The 18216-nt window shown below is 48.8% G+C and overlaps 1 protein-coding gene across 5 annotated transcripts in view, besides 1 other annotated feature; it reads left to right on the top strand.

The window, feature by feature from the left end:
• Nucleotides 1–18216, top strand: part of DIP2C (disco interacting protein 2 homolog C) — a 415468-nt gene that overhangs the window by 135933 nt on the left and 261319 nt on the right. The window lies entirely within an intron of this gene.
• Nucleotides 11496–11996: an enhancer, noted in NCBI's record as "H3K4me1 hESC enhancer chr10:587680-588180 (GRCh37/hg19 assembly coordinates)". NCBI's record gives its function as "activates a minimal SCP1, AML or CMV promoter by ChIP-STARR-seq in naive H9 embryonic stem cells {active_cell/tissue: H9 hESC(naive)}" and the evidence as "EXISTENCE:reporter gene assay evidence [ECO:0000049][PMID:30033119]".

The following is an 18216-nucleotide window of genomic DNA, read 5'->3' as shown; positions in this document are numbered from 1 at the left end:
CAAGCTATACCTTTTCTCCTATGATGTATATTTCTTGCTTGTTCGCCACTCTTAAAGTTACAAGCTATATACCTTTTCTTCTATGATGTATGTTTCTTGAAGGCATGGACTAAATCCTAATTCCACAGTATTCAATGCACATACTCAAGAGATACTTGTTTGAATGATTGGGTTAATGGAAAATAGAAGTGGTGACTTAACTTTCAGTTCATTATGCCAAACTTCAAGTGTTTACACGCAAAATTTTATGGTCCTTTGGATAAACTGGGCTTCTGTGCAGGGTGGTTAGAGATTGTGGGAGTGCAGCAAATGGCTCTGTGGCTCTAGGCTCACGAAGGGCTTGAGGGACTTAGTGGCGGCACCTGTGTTGAAAACTCAATTCTGCAAATCCTTCTTGAGTGACCAGGCGCCACACACGCAGCCCTGCTTCCCAGCTGATTTCTGCAGAGGCTTTTTCTGAATGCCCCAGGTGAACATGAATTCAGCCAGCACTGCTGGGCTTGCACAGCAAGCCAGGTGCAGGGACGAGGGAGAAGAGGGGCAGGACCCAGCTCTTCCTGGGCCCCAGTGCCCATGTGGGGATGCTGCCTGGCCTGGCTCTTCTTAGGGAGGTCAGGAAAACAGTGGCATGGAGGGTCTGTTGGCACGAGCCTCTTGGTGAAACATGGATCCCAGGTCTGTGTGGGAGGCAAAATAGAAATTTATGTGGATATCCTCAGTAAAATAGGAAATACTGGCTTCTTCCCTAGGGTGGCTGATCCCCTCCCTCATCTGCTGAGCAAAGGCTCGGCCTTCTGGGCCTCCACAATGAGCTTTTCCCAAGCTCTGTCCACTCCGTGGAGATGGCGGGAGCCAGGGCAGACATGGGGTGTTCGTCACTTTTTTTTGAGATGGAGTCTTGCTCTGGCGCCCAGGCTGGAGTGCAGTGACATGATTTTGGCTCAGTGCAAGCTCCGCCTCCCCGGTTCACACTGTTCTCCTGCCTCAGCCTCCCGAGTAGCTGGAATTACAGGTGCCACCACCACACCTGGCTAATTTTTTGTATTTTTACTAGAGACGGGGTTTCACCGTGTTAGCCAGGATGGTCTAGATCTCCTGACCTCGTGATCCGCCCGCCTCGGCCTCCCAAAGTGCTGGGATTACAGGCGTGAACCACTGCACCCGGCCAGGTGTTTGTCACTTTTTGAAAGCTACATTTGAGGAATGAAATAGACTGAACAGAATTACTTATTTTTGAATATTTAATACTTAGTCTATGAGAACACTTAAATATAGTTAATGTATTCGAATAATAAGGAAGAAATTTCCCTCTCTGTTTCCAAAGCAAAAGTATAAACAACCTTTTACTTGGCAGGGACTTCACTCTGTTTCTAAAAAGCCAGCAAGCACCGTTCCTGAAATAGACCGATCTGTTCCTCTGCATAGACCCTATTAACATTTTAGCTACATCTCTGCTGTATCTTGATATGATAGATTATAGAAAATGTCTTGCTACTGGAACTTCACGATGCTTTCCTTTTAAACATCAGGTAGAAAGTATGGATAGTAAATCTCAGATTAGTTGCCATTCTTGGTCTTGGTAGAGCTGCCATCGACAGCCTCCGTCAGTTACAACAGAGTGTGTCTCTCCAGCAACCCAGCTTAGATTGCAGACTGAGTCTGGCTCACCCAGGATTCAGTGCAACGTCTTCCGAAGCTGTAGCCACCACTCTCAGAAGAGACTTGAGAAGCCCTCCCTTTGATGCCTGCATGTGGCTGTTCTCAGATCACAACAGCTATAGCAGCGTCTCAGAGGATGCTGGCAGGGGTGTCCTGGGTGTGACACCACGGCAGGGGCCTGCAGCATCTGAACGAAATGGGCCGTGACATTGAGCGGCCTAGGGGAGTCCACAGCCGCATTTCAAAGGTGCAGTGGCCCGAGGTTGAACCCCAGAGCCTGGCTCTGAGGAGCCTGGAGTTGACCTGTCACAACTCCATTGAGAGAGCTGGCTGAATTCTGTACCTGTGTGGGCAAGATGGCTGTGTTTGCTCTTGGACCCTTCCCAAGCCAGGGCTAGGGAGATTGTCTGCACAGCTAGTGGGAGCTTGACTGTTCACACTCGGGGCTGAGTCCCTCACCTTTCTCTGAGCCCAGGGAAGATGGACATGCTGCTGTGACACAGCCAGCCTGGCAGGAGGGAAGGCACTTGTGGGTTTGTGCACCGAGGCCTCCTTCCTCTTGAGCCAGGAAGGGCTTTTGGGATCCTGCTTCCAGCTGCTTTCCCTTGCTAGGTTATTGGCCTCGGGGGCCAGGAGAAGCCGAGTGCAGACCTGCAGCCTGGACCCCTTCCACAGCCTCCGTGGCACCTGTGGTAAGCGGGACGTGGCCTTTGGAACTCCAAGCCCTACCCTGGCATGCCTGCCCCTTGGGGTGTCTCAGGCACCTGCTGTATGCCAGGCTCCATGGCGGGGTGGGCGGCAGCCAGGGCTGTGGGGAGGAGGGGGCATGGTACGTGGACGATGTTGAGAAGCATCAGGGAGGCGCTTGAGGCAGTGTCAGCAGAGCCGAGACCTGCAAGGAGGGGACTGGCTGTGGGTGTTGGAGCTCAGAGGCTGCCTCTACCAGAGCCACAGTGTCTAGTGAGGGCAGAGGGAGGACCGAGGCCCGGGGAAGCCGTGTGCATGGTTTGCATCAGGTATGTACCAGAGCCACAGTGTCCAGTGAGGGCAGAGGGGGAAATCGAGGCCCGGGGAAGCCGTGTGCACAGTTCGCATCAGGTATGTACCAGAGCCACAGTGTCCAGTGAGGGCAGAGGGGAGACCGAGGCCCGGGGAAGCCATGTGCACGGTTCGCATCGGGTGTGCAGGCCTGACTGGCTGTGCTGACCTTCTCAGTCCCGGCCAGGCCTGGGGTCCCAGAGGGAATGGAGCATCCCTCTTCTTGCTTCCCTGTTGCTTCCTGGTCAAGGGATGCTTGTTTATTGCAACTCTGGCAATTATTCTGAATATTAAGAGGAGTTTCACAAAATCGTAGGGGGAGAGGGGCTAGGGATTCATTTTTTTTTCTCCACCTGATTTTACAGGAGGCTTCTGCCATCCCTTAGTGTGAAGGCAGAGTGCAGACGCTCTGCGGTTATTTGTCCAGGAGGAGAAGAGCTTCTGGGAGGTCACAGATCTGATTGTTGTAATAGCACTGACATTTTTAAATGGGAGAATGTTGATATCTATAGTAAACAGAGTAAAACTTCAGTAGCTTCAATATAAAGATGCCGAGATGATCTTAGAGCCACTTTGTCCATAGATCCTTCTGCGGTGTGGAACTGCAGCGTCTCTCTACCAGCCTCTGTGGTCAGTGGCCACCTGTGGGTAATTGAATGCTTGAAGTGCAAATGAGAAACTGATACTTCTAATTTTATTTAATTTTAGACAAATTTAAATAGCTACATGGGCCGGGCACTGTGGCTCATACCTGTATTCCCAGCAGTTTGGGAGGTCAAGGCGGGTGGATCACGTGAGGTCAGGAGTTCGAGACCAGCCTGGCCAACATGGTGAAATCCTGTCTCTACTAAAAGTACAAAAATTAGCTGGGCATGGTGACAGGCACCTGTAATCCCAGCTACTCAGGATGCCAAGGCAGGAGAATTACTTGAACCCGAGAGGCAGAGATTGCAGCAAGCTGAGATTGTGATACTGCACTCCAGCCTGGGCGACAGAGGGAGACTGTCTTAAGAGAAAAAAAAAAAAAAAAAAGCTACACGTCCCTTGTTGCTTCTGTAGGACACCGCATGGTTCCAGAAGGTAGACCTTGTGTTGGGGACTCTGCATTGTCAGGCTGGAGACACAGTCTCCCTTCCTAGCAGTGTGGGCCCCTGGGCTGCCCTTCTACCAGAAGGGATGGTGGTGTCTCTAGAGGTATCTGTGGACTCAGATCTATGTGAATTAGTGACTAGTGTTACTCACAGATACTTAATTTTATGGGTAAATAAATACCTGGACTTGCTGCGAGCTTTCAGGGCAAGAATCGGGAGTAGGGAGTGAAAAGTGACGAGGGCACCCATGGCTTGTCCCGCTGCCTCCAGCACCTGGTCGGGGGGGGCCCTCCGCTCTGAAGCCCCCGGCACCTGGTCGGGGGCACCCCTCCCCTCTGAAGCCACCAGACCCTCCTGGCCTGTGGTGCTGCTTCTCCAAATGCCGCCCTTGGCTGTTTCCCAGGAGTCACTGGCGCCCAAGCAGGCTGTATGGGTCACTTCTGCGTGGTTTTGGGGTGTTGGTGAAGCTCATTGGTCTCGTCTTCCTTCTCATGTGCCACATCTCACCTGTTGGCTTGTGGATGGGCCCGAGTCCGTGTGTGGACGCGTTGTATCTTCTCAGGCTGTACTTGGTGCTTAGGTGACAAGGACGTCTTAGAGCAATGGACTGTCTGCTCCAAAGGGTGCTGTGTGTTAATTGAGACATAGCTTACTTGTGGGGTTTAAATTTCCTGGGTGTTGGAGGCAATTGGGGAAAAAAGGTCTAAAAAGGCCCCTGGGGATGAGGGAAGCAATAATGAAAAAGTAACTTTATCGCACTTAGCAGTTGATTGAATTTGAACGTGAATTTTGCATTTTGGGGACTCTTAAAGCTACTATTTGTAGGGATTCCTTGATGAGCTGCTTGTTTTCTGTCAAGTAGAAAGTAAAGTGGATCGGTTTTGCCTTTAATTCTGACTAACTAGAATCTACTTGGCTTTTTCCCCCATTCACGTTAGGGTGGGGGATTGGACTAGAAGAGCTGTAGGATCTTTATTTCTGATCTTAAATGAATTTTTTCTTTACTCACTTTTTTTTTTTTTTTTTTTTTTTTTTTGTGAGCTGCTATTTTTTCCTGCAATGCACTGTTCTTTGGTTTGGGAAATGTGCTATATTTGTACCGTGCTTTAAACATACACAATGGTTCTAAATAACTACTTTTCTTTAAAGTTAGATGTAACATCTTAATTAAAATGTCATCCATAAATCAGGCACAGTCTGTGAGGTTGTGCGAGCGTGAAAGCTCCACAGTCTGAGGCCTGGAGACCCCTCTTGTCGCTTCCCTCCAGCCATGTCTCCTCCCCCGGCCACATCACCTCTGGCCACATCTCCTCCCCCCACCACACCATGTCACCCCCATAACCCTTGCCACGTCACCTCTGGCCACATCACCTCCCTCCCGGCCACATCACCTCTGTCCTCGCTGCCTGCCTGCCTGCCTGCCTGCCTCCCTCCCTCCCTCCTGGCCACATCACCTCTGGCCTCACTGCCTGCCTGCCTGCCTCCCTCCCTCCCTCCCTCCCTCCATCCCGGTGGCCTCCGCGGCTCCTGCTGACTGCCCTCCCGAGGGGCTGTTCGATGCTCTTTTCCCGTCTTCTGCTCCTGAGTGGGTCTCGGGGCTGGATGTTTCACAGGATGCAAGTTTCTTCCCTTCCAGCCGTAGGTCTCTGGGCGACAACTCCAGAGAGGGCACCAAGCTCTCCTTACCCACCTGGGGGCCCTGAGCCCTGACCACCAGGGCTTTCCTGTGGGGGGGGGGGTGGGGCAGACTCGTGTGAATTGGACTGAAAAGGTGCTTCCAGGAATCCTTGTTTTAGGTGCACTGGGGCAGAGGTGGGGACAGGGGACCACCACACCACCTGGTTTGCTCAGAATTTGGTCCTGATCACAGCCAATGAGGCAACACAAGCACCTCCTAAATGAAGCATTGCAGACTGCTTTTACATGTGACAGTTGTGATGGCTGAAAAAGGCTTCACACAATGAGTGGGTTTGAGCTGCATTTGAAGGCAGAACAGGTCCCTGCAGGTGGAAATGAGAGATAAGGGTGACCCAAGCCATCAGCAGCTGCGGGTGGGGTGGTGTGGGCTCCCCAGGGATGGTGGGCATGGATGAAATGCAGGAGAGGGCAGGGGTGCGATGGAACAGCAGGGCAGCGTTAAAATCCCCCTGCAGAGAGGGGACGTGACTGAGATTTTATCACATGTATAAACTGAGAGATGATTTGAGGATGATTTCTGGGAGCCTGTGGGAAAAGCACGTGGTCATCATCAGTTCTCTGGATCTCTGAAAAGTCATGCCTCTGCCTATCTTGTGAGCTATTGTGAAGATCAAATCGGATAATCTTCAGCAAGCCTTGTAAATGCTAAAGCTCATGACAGAGACTGTTCCAGCCCCTTTTTCTCCACCCTCCCTTCCTCCTGGATAATGTGAACCCTGCTGGGTACCTCACTGTCTGCCTGCTTTCCTCCTCTGTAACATGAGGCCTGAGTATTTGCTGGGTACTTCGCTGTCAACCTTCCTTCCTTCTCAGTGATGTGAGCCCTGAGTATTTGCTGGGTACCTCACTGCCTGCCTCACAGCTGGCTGTGGCCCTGTTACACACACTTGGCTGGCACATAAGCAGAAGTGCTCGCTGGGCCTGGGAGGGCTTTCTGATGTGTGGGTGCATGCTTCTCCCTGTAGGCTGGAGCTGCAGGAGCCCTCCTGGATCAGAGGACCAAGGCTGTGGCCTCGCGATGGGGGCTGGGGGAGCTCCCTGGGTTTATTGTGTGGGTGAGAGCAAACTTCAGTCCCGCTGCAGCACCGGGATTCCGGGTTCCCTCTGGAATGTTCTGAATGAGAAACAGGAAGTATGCAGAGGTGCGTCTTCCGAGGATTTGATGGTTATCTTAGCTCAGAGGCACCAAGTGCTCTCCCATGAACCTGCAGAACCGCTTCTTCCACTAATGGCCTTCTTTATCTAAAGAATGACTTACAAACTCTGCCACTTAAGAGATAGGTATTTGCAGGTGTGGCCTGAAAAATGAACAAATTGATTCTTTCATCTCAAGGAAAATACCTTACGTTATTCCCAATGATAGCCATTGGAGCTTTCCAGTGAATATTAAAATATACAAATCTTGTGTCTGCCACTTTCTCATGTGATCAGTGGTGATATTGATGTGATTTTTTTTTTTGACATAATGAAATGTGGAAGCTGCTCATAACTCTGAACCAGTGTTTTCTAACCAGTTACAAAATCGTGTGCTGGTAAAAGAGCCACTCAAGTGCAGGACAGACCAGTCCGCTTAAAAGGAATTGGGGCAGAAAGGCCCGTCGACCAGGGTCCAGACTCTGCGTTGCAGACAGCCTGCATGGAAGTGCCGCTTGTGACATTTGGCAGCAGAGAATACCTAAAACTATGTGAAAGCACAGTGAAAAATACTTCTTCCTAACTGTATATAGCATGGGATCAGACATTTTTCATAAACTTCAACCAGAGTTCTGCAGCCCACTGAACGCAGATGGAGGCATGAGAACCCTGCTGTCCGAGGTGCAGAGAGGCGTTAGGTGTTCTCACAGCAGCACAAACTGTTGCCACACTGCTGCTTATTTTGGAAAATGGTTTTTTCTTTAAGACTGTGCTGTTTATTAACATGTAATGACTTTATTATTTTAAAATAAATTTGTTACTTTTTTTTTTTTTTTTTAAGAGTCTTGCTCTGTCACCCAGGCTGGAGTGTAGTGGCGTGACCTCGGCTCACTTCAACCTCTGCTTCCCGGGTTCAAGTGATTCTCCTGCCTCAGCCTCCCAGGTAGCTGGGACTACAGGCACCCACCACCAAGCCCGGATAATTTTTATTATTTTAGTAGAGATGGGGTTTCACCATGTTGGTCAGGCCGGTCTGGAACTCCTGACTTCAAGTGACCCATCTGCCTTGGCCTCCCAAAGTGCTGGGTGGGATTACAGGCATAAGCCCACCATGCCCGGCCTCATGAGAAAGCTTTTTGTGATCTTTAATAAACTGTAAAGGGTTCCTGAGACCCAAAAGTTTGAAAACCACCGGCTTAAACCGACAACAAATTGTCCATGATTCTTCAGTGTACCTTCTAATCTGTTGATGGAGAAAGGTTGTAAGGGGTTGCTTTACTTTTTTCCTTTCGCAACTTAGTGGTGCTGGGACAACTGGATATCCACATGGAAAAGGATGGACTGCACCCTCCCTCACCCTACACAAAAAAATAGCTCAAAATGGATCCAGTGTAAGAGTCGATACTGTGAGACCCATTTTGTCAGTCTGCTGGGTACCGTAACAGACACCGCAGACTGTGAGGCTTAAACAGCATCTTATTTCCTTTGTTCTGGAGGCTGGAAGCCTGGGGTCAAGGTGCAGGCAGGGTTCGATCCTCCGGGTCCTCACCCCATTCTGTGTAGACGGCGTCTTCTCTGTGTCCTCATGGGTTTCTCTTATGTGTGTGCAGCACTGAGGACTCTGTGTGTCTAAATTCTCTATTATAAGAACACCAGTCATGGCTGGGCGTGGTGGCTCACACCTGTAATCCCAGCATTTTGGGAGGCCGAGGTGGGTGGATCACCTGAGGTCAGGAGTTACAGATCAGCAGTGAAACCTCATCTCTACTAAAACTACAAAAATTACCTGGGCGTTGTGGCAGGTGCCTGTAGTCCCAGCTGCCCAGGAGGCTGAGGCAGGAGAATTGCTTGAACCTGGGAGGCGGAGGTTGCAGTGAGCTGAGGTCATGCCACTACACTCCAGCCTGGACAGAGAGAGTGAAACTCAAAAAAAAAAAAAAAAAAAAAAAGGGAAAACACCAGTCATGTTGGATCAGGGCCTACTCTTAAGATCTTATGGGACCTAAATTGTCACGTTAAAGGCCCTGTGACATTTTGAGTTTCTAGGGGTTGTGGCTTTAACATGGGAATCTTGCGGGGACACAGTTCAGCTCATTACACCCTTAGGGGAGAATCCAGGTGAAACTGTTACGTTGAATTAAGCAATGGTTCCTTAGATGAGATGTCTAAAGCATAACAAGCAACTGAAGGGGAAAAGACAGTATCAAAATTAAAAATGTTCATTTCAGAGGTTACTATTAAAGTAAAAAGACACAACCCACAGAACAAGACACATTATCCCAATAAGGGCCTGATATCAAGAATATCTTTAAAAACTTACTCAGCAATGAAAAGAAAATCCAATTTAAAAATGGACAAAGGATTTGAATAGACATTCTCCAAAGAAAGATACATAAATGCCTTAAAAAGCACATGAGATATTTAACAGAATTAGTCATCTTAGAAATGAAAATGAAAACCACCGTGAGATACCACTTCACAACCACTGGGATGGGTAAAACCCCAGTACTGGACGGTGACATGTTGGTGAAGATGGGAAAATTGGAATCTGTATATATTGCTAGTGGGAGGGGAAGGAAAATGGTACAGTTGCTTTGGAAAAGTCTGGCAGTTCCTCAGAAAAGTTAAGCATAAAATCACTGTACGACCCAGCAATTTCACTCCCAGGCATATGCCCAAGAAAACTGAAAACGTTTTTACAAAAAAATCTTATGCAAGAATCTTCATAGCAGCATTATTCGTAACAGTGAGTAGAAACAGCCCAGATGTCTGTCAACAGATGAGTGGATAAAGAAAATTTGCACACAATGGAGTATCACTCAGCCGTAAAAAGGAACAAAAGAACATGTGCTCCAATGAGCCTTGAATGTGAAAGATGCCAGCACCAAAGGTCACACCAAAGGTCAAGCACTGTGCAATTCCACTCACCTTGAACGGGAAAGATGCCGGCACCAAAGGTCACACCAAAGGTCACGCACTGTGCGATTCCACTCACCTTGAATGTGAAAGATGGCAGTACCAAAGGTCATGCTAAAGGTCACGCACTGTACGATACCAGTCACCTTGAACGTGAAAGATGCTGGCACCAAAGGTCACGTCAAAGGTCACGCACTATGTGCCCACTCACGACAGGCGTCCAGAGTGGGCAAATCCAGAGAAACAGAAGTCGGCTGGCGATTGCCAGGGGCTGGCGGAAGGAAGCAGCAGGTGCTGACTCTTAATGGATTCAAGGTTTCTTTTGCGGGTGGTGAAAAAGTCCCAGAATTAAATACTAGTGGTGATTGTTGTGCAGCTTTGAGAATATGCTAAAAAGACTGAATTGTACCCTTTAATATGGGGGATTTTATGGTTTGTAAATGCTTTTCAATGTAAAAAGAAACTAAAGAACTTATTTGGTGTTGATATTTAGAATGCGAAAGAGACTGTATCCAAAACATGTTACTATGTAACTCATGTCCCCAGAGAGTTAAACTTCATTTTCTGAGGATCTTAAAGGATGTGTTTGAGCCTAGGAGACACAACGATCCATACTATATGTTACAGCCTATCTTACTGATTTCTATCTCACGTAACAACCGTATTCAGGGAAAACGGACATGTAAACGTGAGCTGAATGCTCTGCAGAAGCACTTTCCTCTTACCCAGATGGTCTTTAGTGGTGCAGTAAGAGATGTGGTCACGGCAACGTCAGTTTAATTTCCATGGCAACAGGAATTTGGCACATCTGATGAGTTAGATCTCCCTGCACAGCTCCTAACAGGGTTACCCATTTCTGTGTGGTGTCTGTGTACGTTCTCGCTACTGAAATCAGTGATGGCACCTGCACAGACACTTGCCCGGAAATGCGCACAAAGCTGGTGAAGGCAGAGGACAGGCGAGTGGGAAGCATGGTTCAGCCCTTGCAAAGGAGACGGTTATTCCTAACGCAGAAGATTCAGGAACACGATCCTTGCGAAGACTGGTGATGTCCATGGATCTCACTGCTGTCCAGTTGTATCTGTGCAGCGAGTTACCAAAGCTGCCAGAGCCGCATGTGTTGGTATCGGTGTCATCATCATCACTCAATGTTTCTGACTTTTGGTATTGGTGTCATCGTCATCACTCAATGTTTGACTTTTCCTGGTGCTGAGGATGACTGCATGTGGCAGAAGCAAAGTGCTGGGCTTAGAAAAGAACTAGAATCTGATGATCTGTGGTATATAGAGAGGCAGGGTCAGAACCCCCCACTCCCCAATCCCGTAAGAACTGGGATCTGATGATCTGTGGTATAGAGAAGGGGGGAGGGTCAGAACCCCCCACTCCCCAATCTGATAAGAACTGGGATCTGGTGACCTGTGGTATAGAGAGGGACAAGGTCAGAACCCCCCACTCCCCAATCCGATAAGAACTGGGATCTGATGACCTGTGGTATAGAGAGGGACAGGGTCAGAACCCCCCACTTCCCAATCTGATAAGAACTGGGATCTGATGATCTGTGGTATAGAGAGGGGCAGGGTTAGAACCCTCCATTCCCCAATCCGATTGTTGAAGAAATAGTTGGCTTGGGAGGGTTTTTACTCTGAAGGTTGAAGCTGTGCATTTCTGGAGCCTGGGCTGTCGGCCGTAGTGGCTGGGGAATGCTGGGGCTGTGGTCGTCTGGCCGCTGGCAGTCCTGCTGGTGGGTCCTGCCTCTTTGACACCGTTCCTTTCTGAAGCTTGTTTTCCCCAGTGTTGGAAGTAGCAGCACTGGAGGAATGGCCTTCTTCCTACAGCAAAGCTCTGCCAGGAGAGGAGGAGAAGACATAGAGCATCTGTTGAGGGACATGACGTTCTGGGCACTGCACCATGCTTTCTGCTTCTCAGCAGTGCCTCCTGGTTGATGTTACCGTCACCTGGCATCGCCCAGGAGGTAACTCGCAGAGGCAGGCAGGGAGCAGAAGGAGCTCAGGAGGGAGTGAGCCGTCACAGGGTGGGGGAGGTTCAGGAGCCAGCAGGCAAGTGGGATGTGGCCTCAAGGTGTTGCTGGGTTGGTGAGGGGTCTTCTGGGACTTTTCTGAGAGTGCAGTCAGTTGTAGGGGTGGGTGCCGGCTCCCGCAGATAGAAGAGCCAAGTGTGCAGGAGACCAACGTGTGCACTGGGAGTCCCCAGGGGCGTGTCCTGGCACGCGGCCCAGAGGCCCCTGACAAGGCTCAGTGCACCAGGCACACAGCGGATTGTTGGTGCTTGACCCGACGAGAAGGTGAGGAAGTGAGGTGAGGGGGGCCGAGAGACAGGTGCAGGGATGCACTAGACAGGGTGCAGTCAGGTGGAGGGTCATGCTGTGGGGTCTAGGAGAGACAGGTGTGGTCAGGTGAAGGGTCACGCTGTGGGGTCCAGGAGAGATGGGTGTGGTCAGTGTGGAGGGTCATGCTGTGGGATCCAGGAGAGATGGGGGTGGTCAGGTGGAGGGTCACTCTTGGGGTTCCAGGAGAGACGGGTGTGGTCGGGTGGAGGGTCACGCTGTGGGGTCCAGGAGAGATGGGTGTGGTCATGTGGAGGGTCACGCTGTGGGATCCAGGAGAGATGGGGGTGTTCAGGTGGAGGGTCACACTGTGGGGTCGAGGAGAGATGGGTGTGGTCAGTGTGGAGGGTCATGCTGTGGGATCCAGGAGAGATATGGGGGTGGAGGGTCACTCGGGGGGGTCCAGGAGAGACGGGTGTGGTCGGGTGGAGGGTCACGATGTGGGGTGCAGGAGAGATGGGTGTGGTCAGGTGGAAGGTCAAGCTGTGGTGTCTGGGAAATGTGTTTTTGCTTTTGGCTGAGCAGCTGGACCTGAGCATGTCTGTGCTTTGACATTTAACCTGTGCACTGTCCTCGGCAGGGTGTGTGTGTCTGTGACAGAGGACACCTCAGCCAGAGTGGATGTCGGCGGTGGTGGCCGGACTCAGGGTCCATGAATGTTGCGTGGTAGAACGTGTTTGGTACATTCTCAGCTCCTGCCCAGGTGCCTCCCAAGCATCGGGTGTTGTGGCTCCCCAGCATCGGGTGTTGTGGCTCCCCAGCATCGGGTGTTGTGGCTCCCCAGCATCGGGTGTTGTGGCTCCCCAGCATCGGGTGTTGTGGCTCCCCAGCATCGGGTGTTGTGGCTCCCCAGCATCGGGTGTTGTGGCTCCCCACATCCTTCCCCATCTGCGTGTAGCACGACCACCACCTTCCTACCATGTGTTTGTCCTATCACGGCTGCTGTGTCTAATGCATGCTTTGCTTTCCAGCTACTTTACTATAATCAAAACCCTTGAAAGACTTTACCTGTGTTTCAGAGATGACAGGGTATTAGTCTTTCATGATTGCTCTGAGGATTTCCAAAAGCAAATGCACCTTACAGGATGCAAGAAATGGCAGACAGTAATTAGAGATTACTTTTCTCAGTTAGTCTTTTTATTGTGGTAAAATTACATAGCACTGTGACCATTTTTAAGTGTACGATTTGGTGGCATTAAGTGCGTTCACACTGTCATGCCACGATCACCGCCATATTCTTGGTCTCCCCAAGCTTGAAACTTGGTCTACCAAACACTAGCTTTCCTCCTACCCCAGCTCTGGTAAGCACTACAGATTGCTTATAGAATAGGCTTTTTCAGTGAGAGAAGGGGCAAGGAGAAGAGGACTCAAGACTGTCTTGAGATTTGAGGAAGTGTTTTAGGTTTTGCTCTCTGGTTCCCAGTGTAAAGGAACTATTGAAGATGTGGGAAGGTGGAAGCTCTGTGTGATCTCAGGAAGTGCTGGGCCGGGCAGCTTTCCCCCTGTGACGGGGGCACTTGCCCTCAAACACACCTGAGATAATTGTGTGAGGATGGTGCTGCGTTGTGACAGCTCTGAACTTGGTCTCCTTGAAAGTTTCCAAGTACATAAGCTTTGGCGGTTACCGTCTAGTGTCTGCGGGAGACCTAGAATTTGAACATTGTTGACTTTAAAACACGCACATCATTTTTATAACACTCTACCTGTTCTCATAAATAGGAAATATGCTGTGTCCTTTTTATTTTGCTTTAATATTCTGTGTTGCAGTAGCAGTAGTTGCAGTGGATGCTGCTTCTGATTCATGGTTATTGCCAAACACAAGTTTCTAGAAACCATGTGAAAAGTGAAGGGGAAAGTGGCTTTCTGCAAATGGCTTTTTTGATCATCTTGTTTTTTTCTGGAATATCTGTGGTGTCAAACATTTTCATATTTAGGGGTTTGTAATGTGTTTTATACTGGTTAGCGTTGAAATCCCATGTTTTTGCATATTGTAGGTCTGCTTTATCCTGTTATTCTATGATATAGCTGTTTTTGAAAACTGTTATTTCACTTTAAAAACCAAAGCAGCTTACAGTATGAGTGTGATTCCTTTAAGAATTTAATTGTAAAATTGATTTGTGTTCAATAAACTTACTGGAATGACTAGTTAGATCAGTGGACAAAAAGATAAGAACATGTCAAGTCTCTGGACCAGGAACGACTTCCAAATAATACACGTGACACACAGTAATTTCTTAACAAAAGATTAGATTTAGTACATAACTTTTTAAAACCTCTATATTTTCTATTATAGCCATTCCACAGTGCCCATGGGGGTGGGTTGCAGGACTGCCTATGGATACCAAGGTCTGTGGGCACTCAGGTCCCTGGAATAAAATGGCATAGTGTTTGCATATGACATATGCACATCCTCCTGTAGACTTTCAGTCATGTCAAGATTGCTCATAACACCTATACCATGTACTTGCCATGTGAATAGTTGTTAAACTATATTGTTTAATGAATAATAAAGTCTGAATGCTTAGTACAAACACATTAAAAAAATATTCTTGATCTATAGTTGGTTGAATCCACAGGCCTGGAACCCCAGGATAGAGTACAAACTCTAGAAGCAAAATAAATATTTAAGAATCGAATACAGCAAAGATTAAAGGATTAATATGAGCACTCTATGAAAGGTTTGCTTAATTGATGAGAAATGCCATAGGAATTCAGTAAACCCACAGAATGATGTGAACAGACAACTCGCAACTGAGGTCATATAGCAGATTCACAAAACGCACGGAATGACGTGAACAGACAACTGAGCTCGTAGAACAGATTCACAAAACTCATGGAATGACGTGAACAGACAACTCGCAACTGAGGTCATACAGCAGATTCACAGAACACACGGAATGACATGAACAGACAACTCACAACTGAGGTTCATATAGCAGATTCATGAACACAGAAAAAGTTCTTAGTAGTCATGTACATTTAAATTATGTGCTGCTTTTTGCTAGTGAGCACATTTTTCAAAGTCATATTACCCAGTGCTTACAATTTTTTTGATATAATTTAGAATTGTGATAGTATTAATAGGTACAGTTATCTTTTGTTAAAAAGAAACGTTTTCAATAAGAACCTTAGAATGTTTATATCCCTTCCTGGGTAATTTGAGGTTCTTAGACTTATTTGTGAGGTTCTTAAGTTTGGCTAGAGAACAACAACAAAAACCCAAAACACTGAAACCCAGAGGCTGACAACATTGACTTAGATCTGAGAGCACAGGCAGGCCCCATCATTTCCACGTTGAGACCCTGAACCATCCCTCTCTCACCCTAGCCCCTGTACGGTCCGGACTGGAAGAGTCCAGGATTGTGGCACCTGTTTATGATGAAAATCTTCAGGAGACTGGGCACAATGGCTCATGCCTCATGCCTATAGTTCTAGGGCTTTGGAAGGCCAAGGCTGAAGGATACCTTGAGGCCAGGAGTTTGAGACCAGGCTAGGCAACCAGATAGCAAGATCCCATCTCTACAAAAAAGAACTAGCCGAGTGTGGTGGTGCACACCTGTAGTCCTAGCTACTTGGGAGTGGGAGGTGGAAGGATCTCTGAAGCCCAGAGTTTTAGGCTGGTGTGAGCTATCATTGTGCCACTGCATGCCAGCCTGGGTGACAGAGCAAGACCCTGTCCCAAAGAAAACTCCTCGGGAAGCATTTGTTATCCACAGAGGATACAGAGTCTAGAAACAAAAAGCTTAAAAATTTAAAATACATTCACAGCCAGGCACGGTGGCTCGTGGCTGTTATCCCAGCACTTTTGGGAGGCCGAGGCAGCAGATCGCTTGAGGCCAGGAGTTCAAGACCAGATTGGCCAACATGGAGAAACCCTGTCTCTACCAAAAATACAAAAAATAGCCAGGCATGGTGGCGCGTGCCTGTAATCCAGGCTGCTTGGGAGGCTGAGGCAGGAGAATCGCCTGAACTTGGGAGGTGGAGGCTGCAGTGAGCCGAGATCGCCACTGCACTCCAGCCTGCACTACAGAGCGAGACTCGGTCTCGGGGGAAAAAAAAAAATTCGCAGACGAAAGATAACTGCTCGATATTTAGGGAGACCCCAAGAGCTTTGCTTATTGCCAGAGCAATGGGTTTGCACCACCTAGAGTTGACTTACCAGCCTGTGTCTCGTGTCTTCCCTCATCCCTCTCCTGTTGTCATGTTAATGGGGGAAACACAAGCCTGGCTGAAACATGGGTGATACCCGTGTCCTGGGTGCCCTGGGCACAAGTGTGCGGGGGAGGGGGACGGGGGGCAGGATGCTGGGTGCCCTGGGGACAAATGTGTGGGGGGCAGATGCTGGAGCCAGGTCGTAGTTACTTGTGTTGTCTGAGCTTCCTTGGGCATTAGAGGGCTACTTGTGGGAAGAAAAGAGGCGAATTGAAAGGAACCGGAGTCTGCGCCAGGGTGATCCTTATTAGTTAACGATGGGTATTTTAGAAACAGTTTTAAATAAGAATCCTTTCAGTGGAGAGAGTGCACTTGCTCTGTTTGAGTCATTTACCCCGAAATCACAGAGATTCTGGTCCAGGTCAGGTCTGGGGAGCTGTGCAGGGCTCTAGATCCCACTGCCTCCTTCATACGGCCTTGCCTCTGTGTGGTGAGGTTGTCACAGGGGCCAAGATCCCACGCCCTCCTTCATACGGCCTTGCCTCTGGGTGGTCAGGTTGTCAAACTCACTCCACCCTCACTTCTTCCCCCACAGAGGGAATCAGACTTCACCTGGGACCTGGGTGAGTCCCTTCAGGCTGCCTGACAGGGTGCAGTGAGGAGAGCCTGGGGTGAGATGCAGGACACAGCCAGCCTCATGACTGATGCCCACCTTCTTTTGTTCATCTTCTATGACTACAAAATGGGTGGTGGTGTCACGGCAGGGATGATAAGTTCTGGGAAAAACAGAATAAAGAACTGGCGTGTGTTAACTTTGAGATACTCAAGTAGAACACAGAACTGGGGGGTCAAGAAGATGGTTTCAGATGACTGCCTTTTCCCTTTGGATTTCCCACACACTCTTCTGTTCACGTGGAAGCTGTTTGCTGGAAAGAAGGTTTAATCAGTTAAAACCGAGTCATAGCTTAGGCTTCCAAAAACAGCACTCACTGTCTTTGTCTTAGCACCTCTCAGGATGGCCCCCCCTCCACAGAGCACTGGGAGTCAGTCCCATGAACGAATTCTGAATCACATTCACTGTCTGTCCGGCTCCTGGTATTAAATTGTGTCCTCCCAAACTTATGTCCCAGTCCTAGCCCCCAGGACTGTGGTGTCCCTGTTGGGAGCAGGTCTTTGCAGATAGATACAACGCTGGCCCCCCTGGGACTGTGATGTCCCTATGGGGAACAGGGTCTTTGCAGATAGATACAACTCTAGCCCCCGGGACTGTGACGTCCCTATGGGGAACAGGGTCTTTGCAGATAGATACAACTCTAGCCCCCGGGACTGTGATGTCCCTATGGGGAACAGGGTCTTTGCAGATAGATACCATGCTCTCAGGAGATATCCTGGATATAGGGTGGGTCCTACGTCCCAATGGCTGGTGTCCTTGGAGAGGAAAGGGAAATTTGAGACACAGAGAAAAGGGCTGTGTGAAGGCAGAGGCAGAGATGGGCGTGATGTGGTTTCAAGCTGAGGGACGCCTGAGCGCACATGCTGGAGGAGGTAGCAAGGATCCCACTTGGAGCCTGCGGTGGGAGCTCGGCCCTGCCCACACCTTGATTGTGGACTTCTGGCTCCCAGACTGGGAGAGAATCAATTTATATTGTTGAAGCTGCCCAATCTGGGACATTTGTTATGGAAACCCAGGGGAGCTGACGTACCATCCATCTGAAAATACTCTTTGCACCCGAAGTGTGCCTCAGGATGGAAGCTTACGGGAGCAATGGGAGAGAAATGTTGAAAATGTGGCATTTGCATACATATAAGTATGTGTATATGTTTATAATAATTATTTTGACCTAATTCTCAGAGTACACTGCAAGAGCAAATGTGACCCAAGGTGTCGTATTTCCTGGAGTTAACACCAATAATTCTTTGAACCAAACCTATAGGCTCCCTTTACATATTTGACATAAAAGATTTGAGTGCAGGTGTATGACTGCCATAGCCCACATACAGTTTTTATGATCAGACTGTAACATTGCATCTTGAGAAAAGATGGTAATATAAATGGACAAATAAAGAACTTGAGGTCAGCAGTGACGAGTGTGGGATCACACTGAATCTCGTGTGTTTCGCTGTGTCACTGCAGAGTGTAAATGGGAACCATTTTTAGCTTAAGGTAAAATAGGTAACAGGAAA

This window comes from Homo sapiens, chromosome 10 (genome assembly GCF_000001405.40).
Source record: "Homo sapiens chromosome 10, GRCh38.p14 Primary Assembly".
Taxonomy (NCBI): Eukaryota; Metazoa; Chordata; class Mammalia; order Primates; family Hominidae; genus Homo; species Homo sapiens.
Note: the sequence above shows the minus strand (reverse complement) of the source record. Positions and strands in the feature narration are given on the sequence as shown.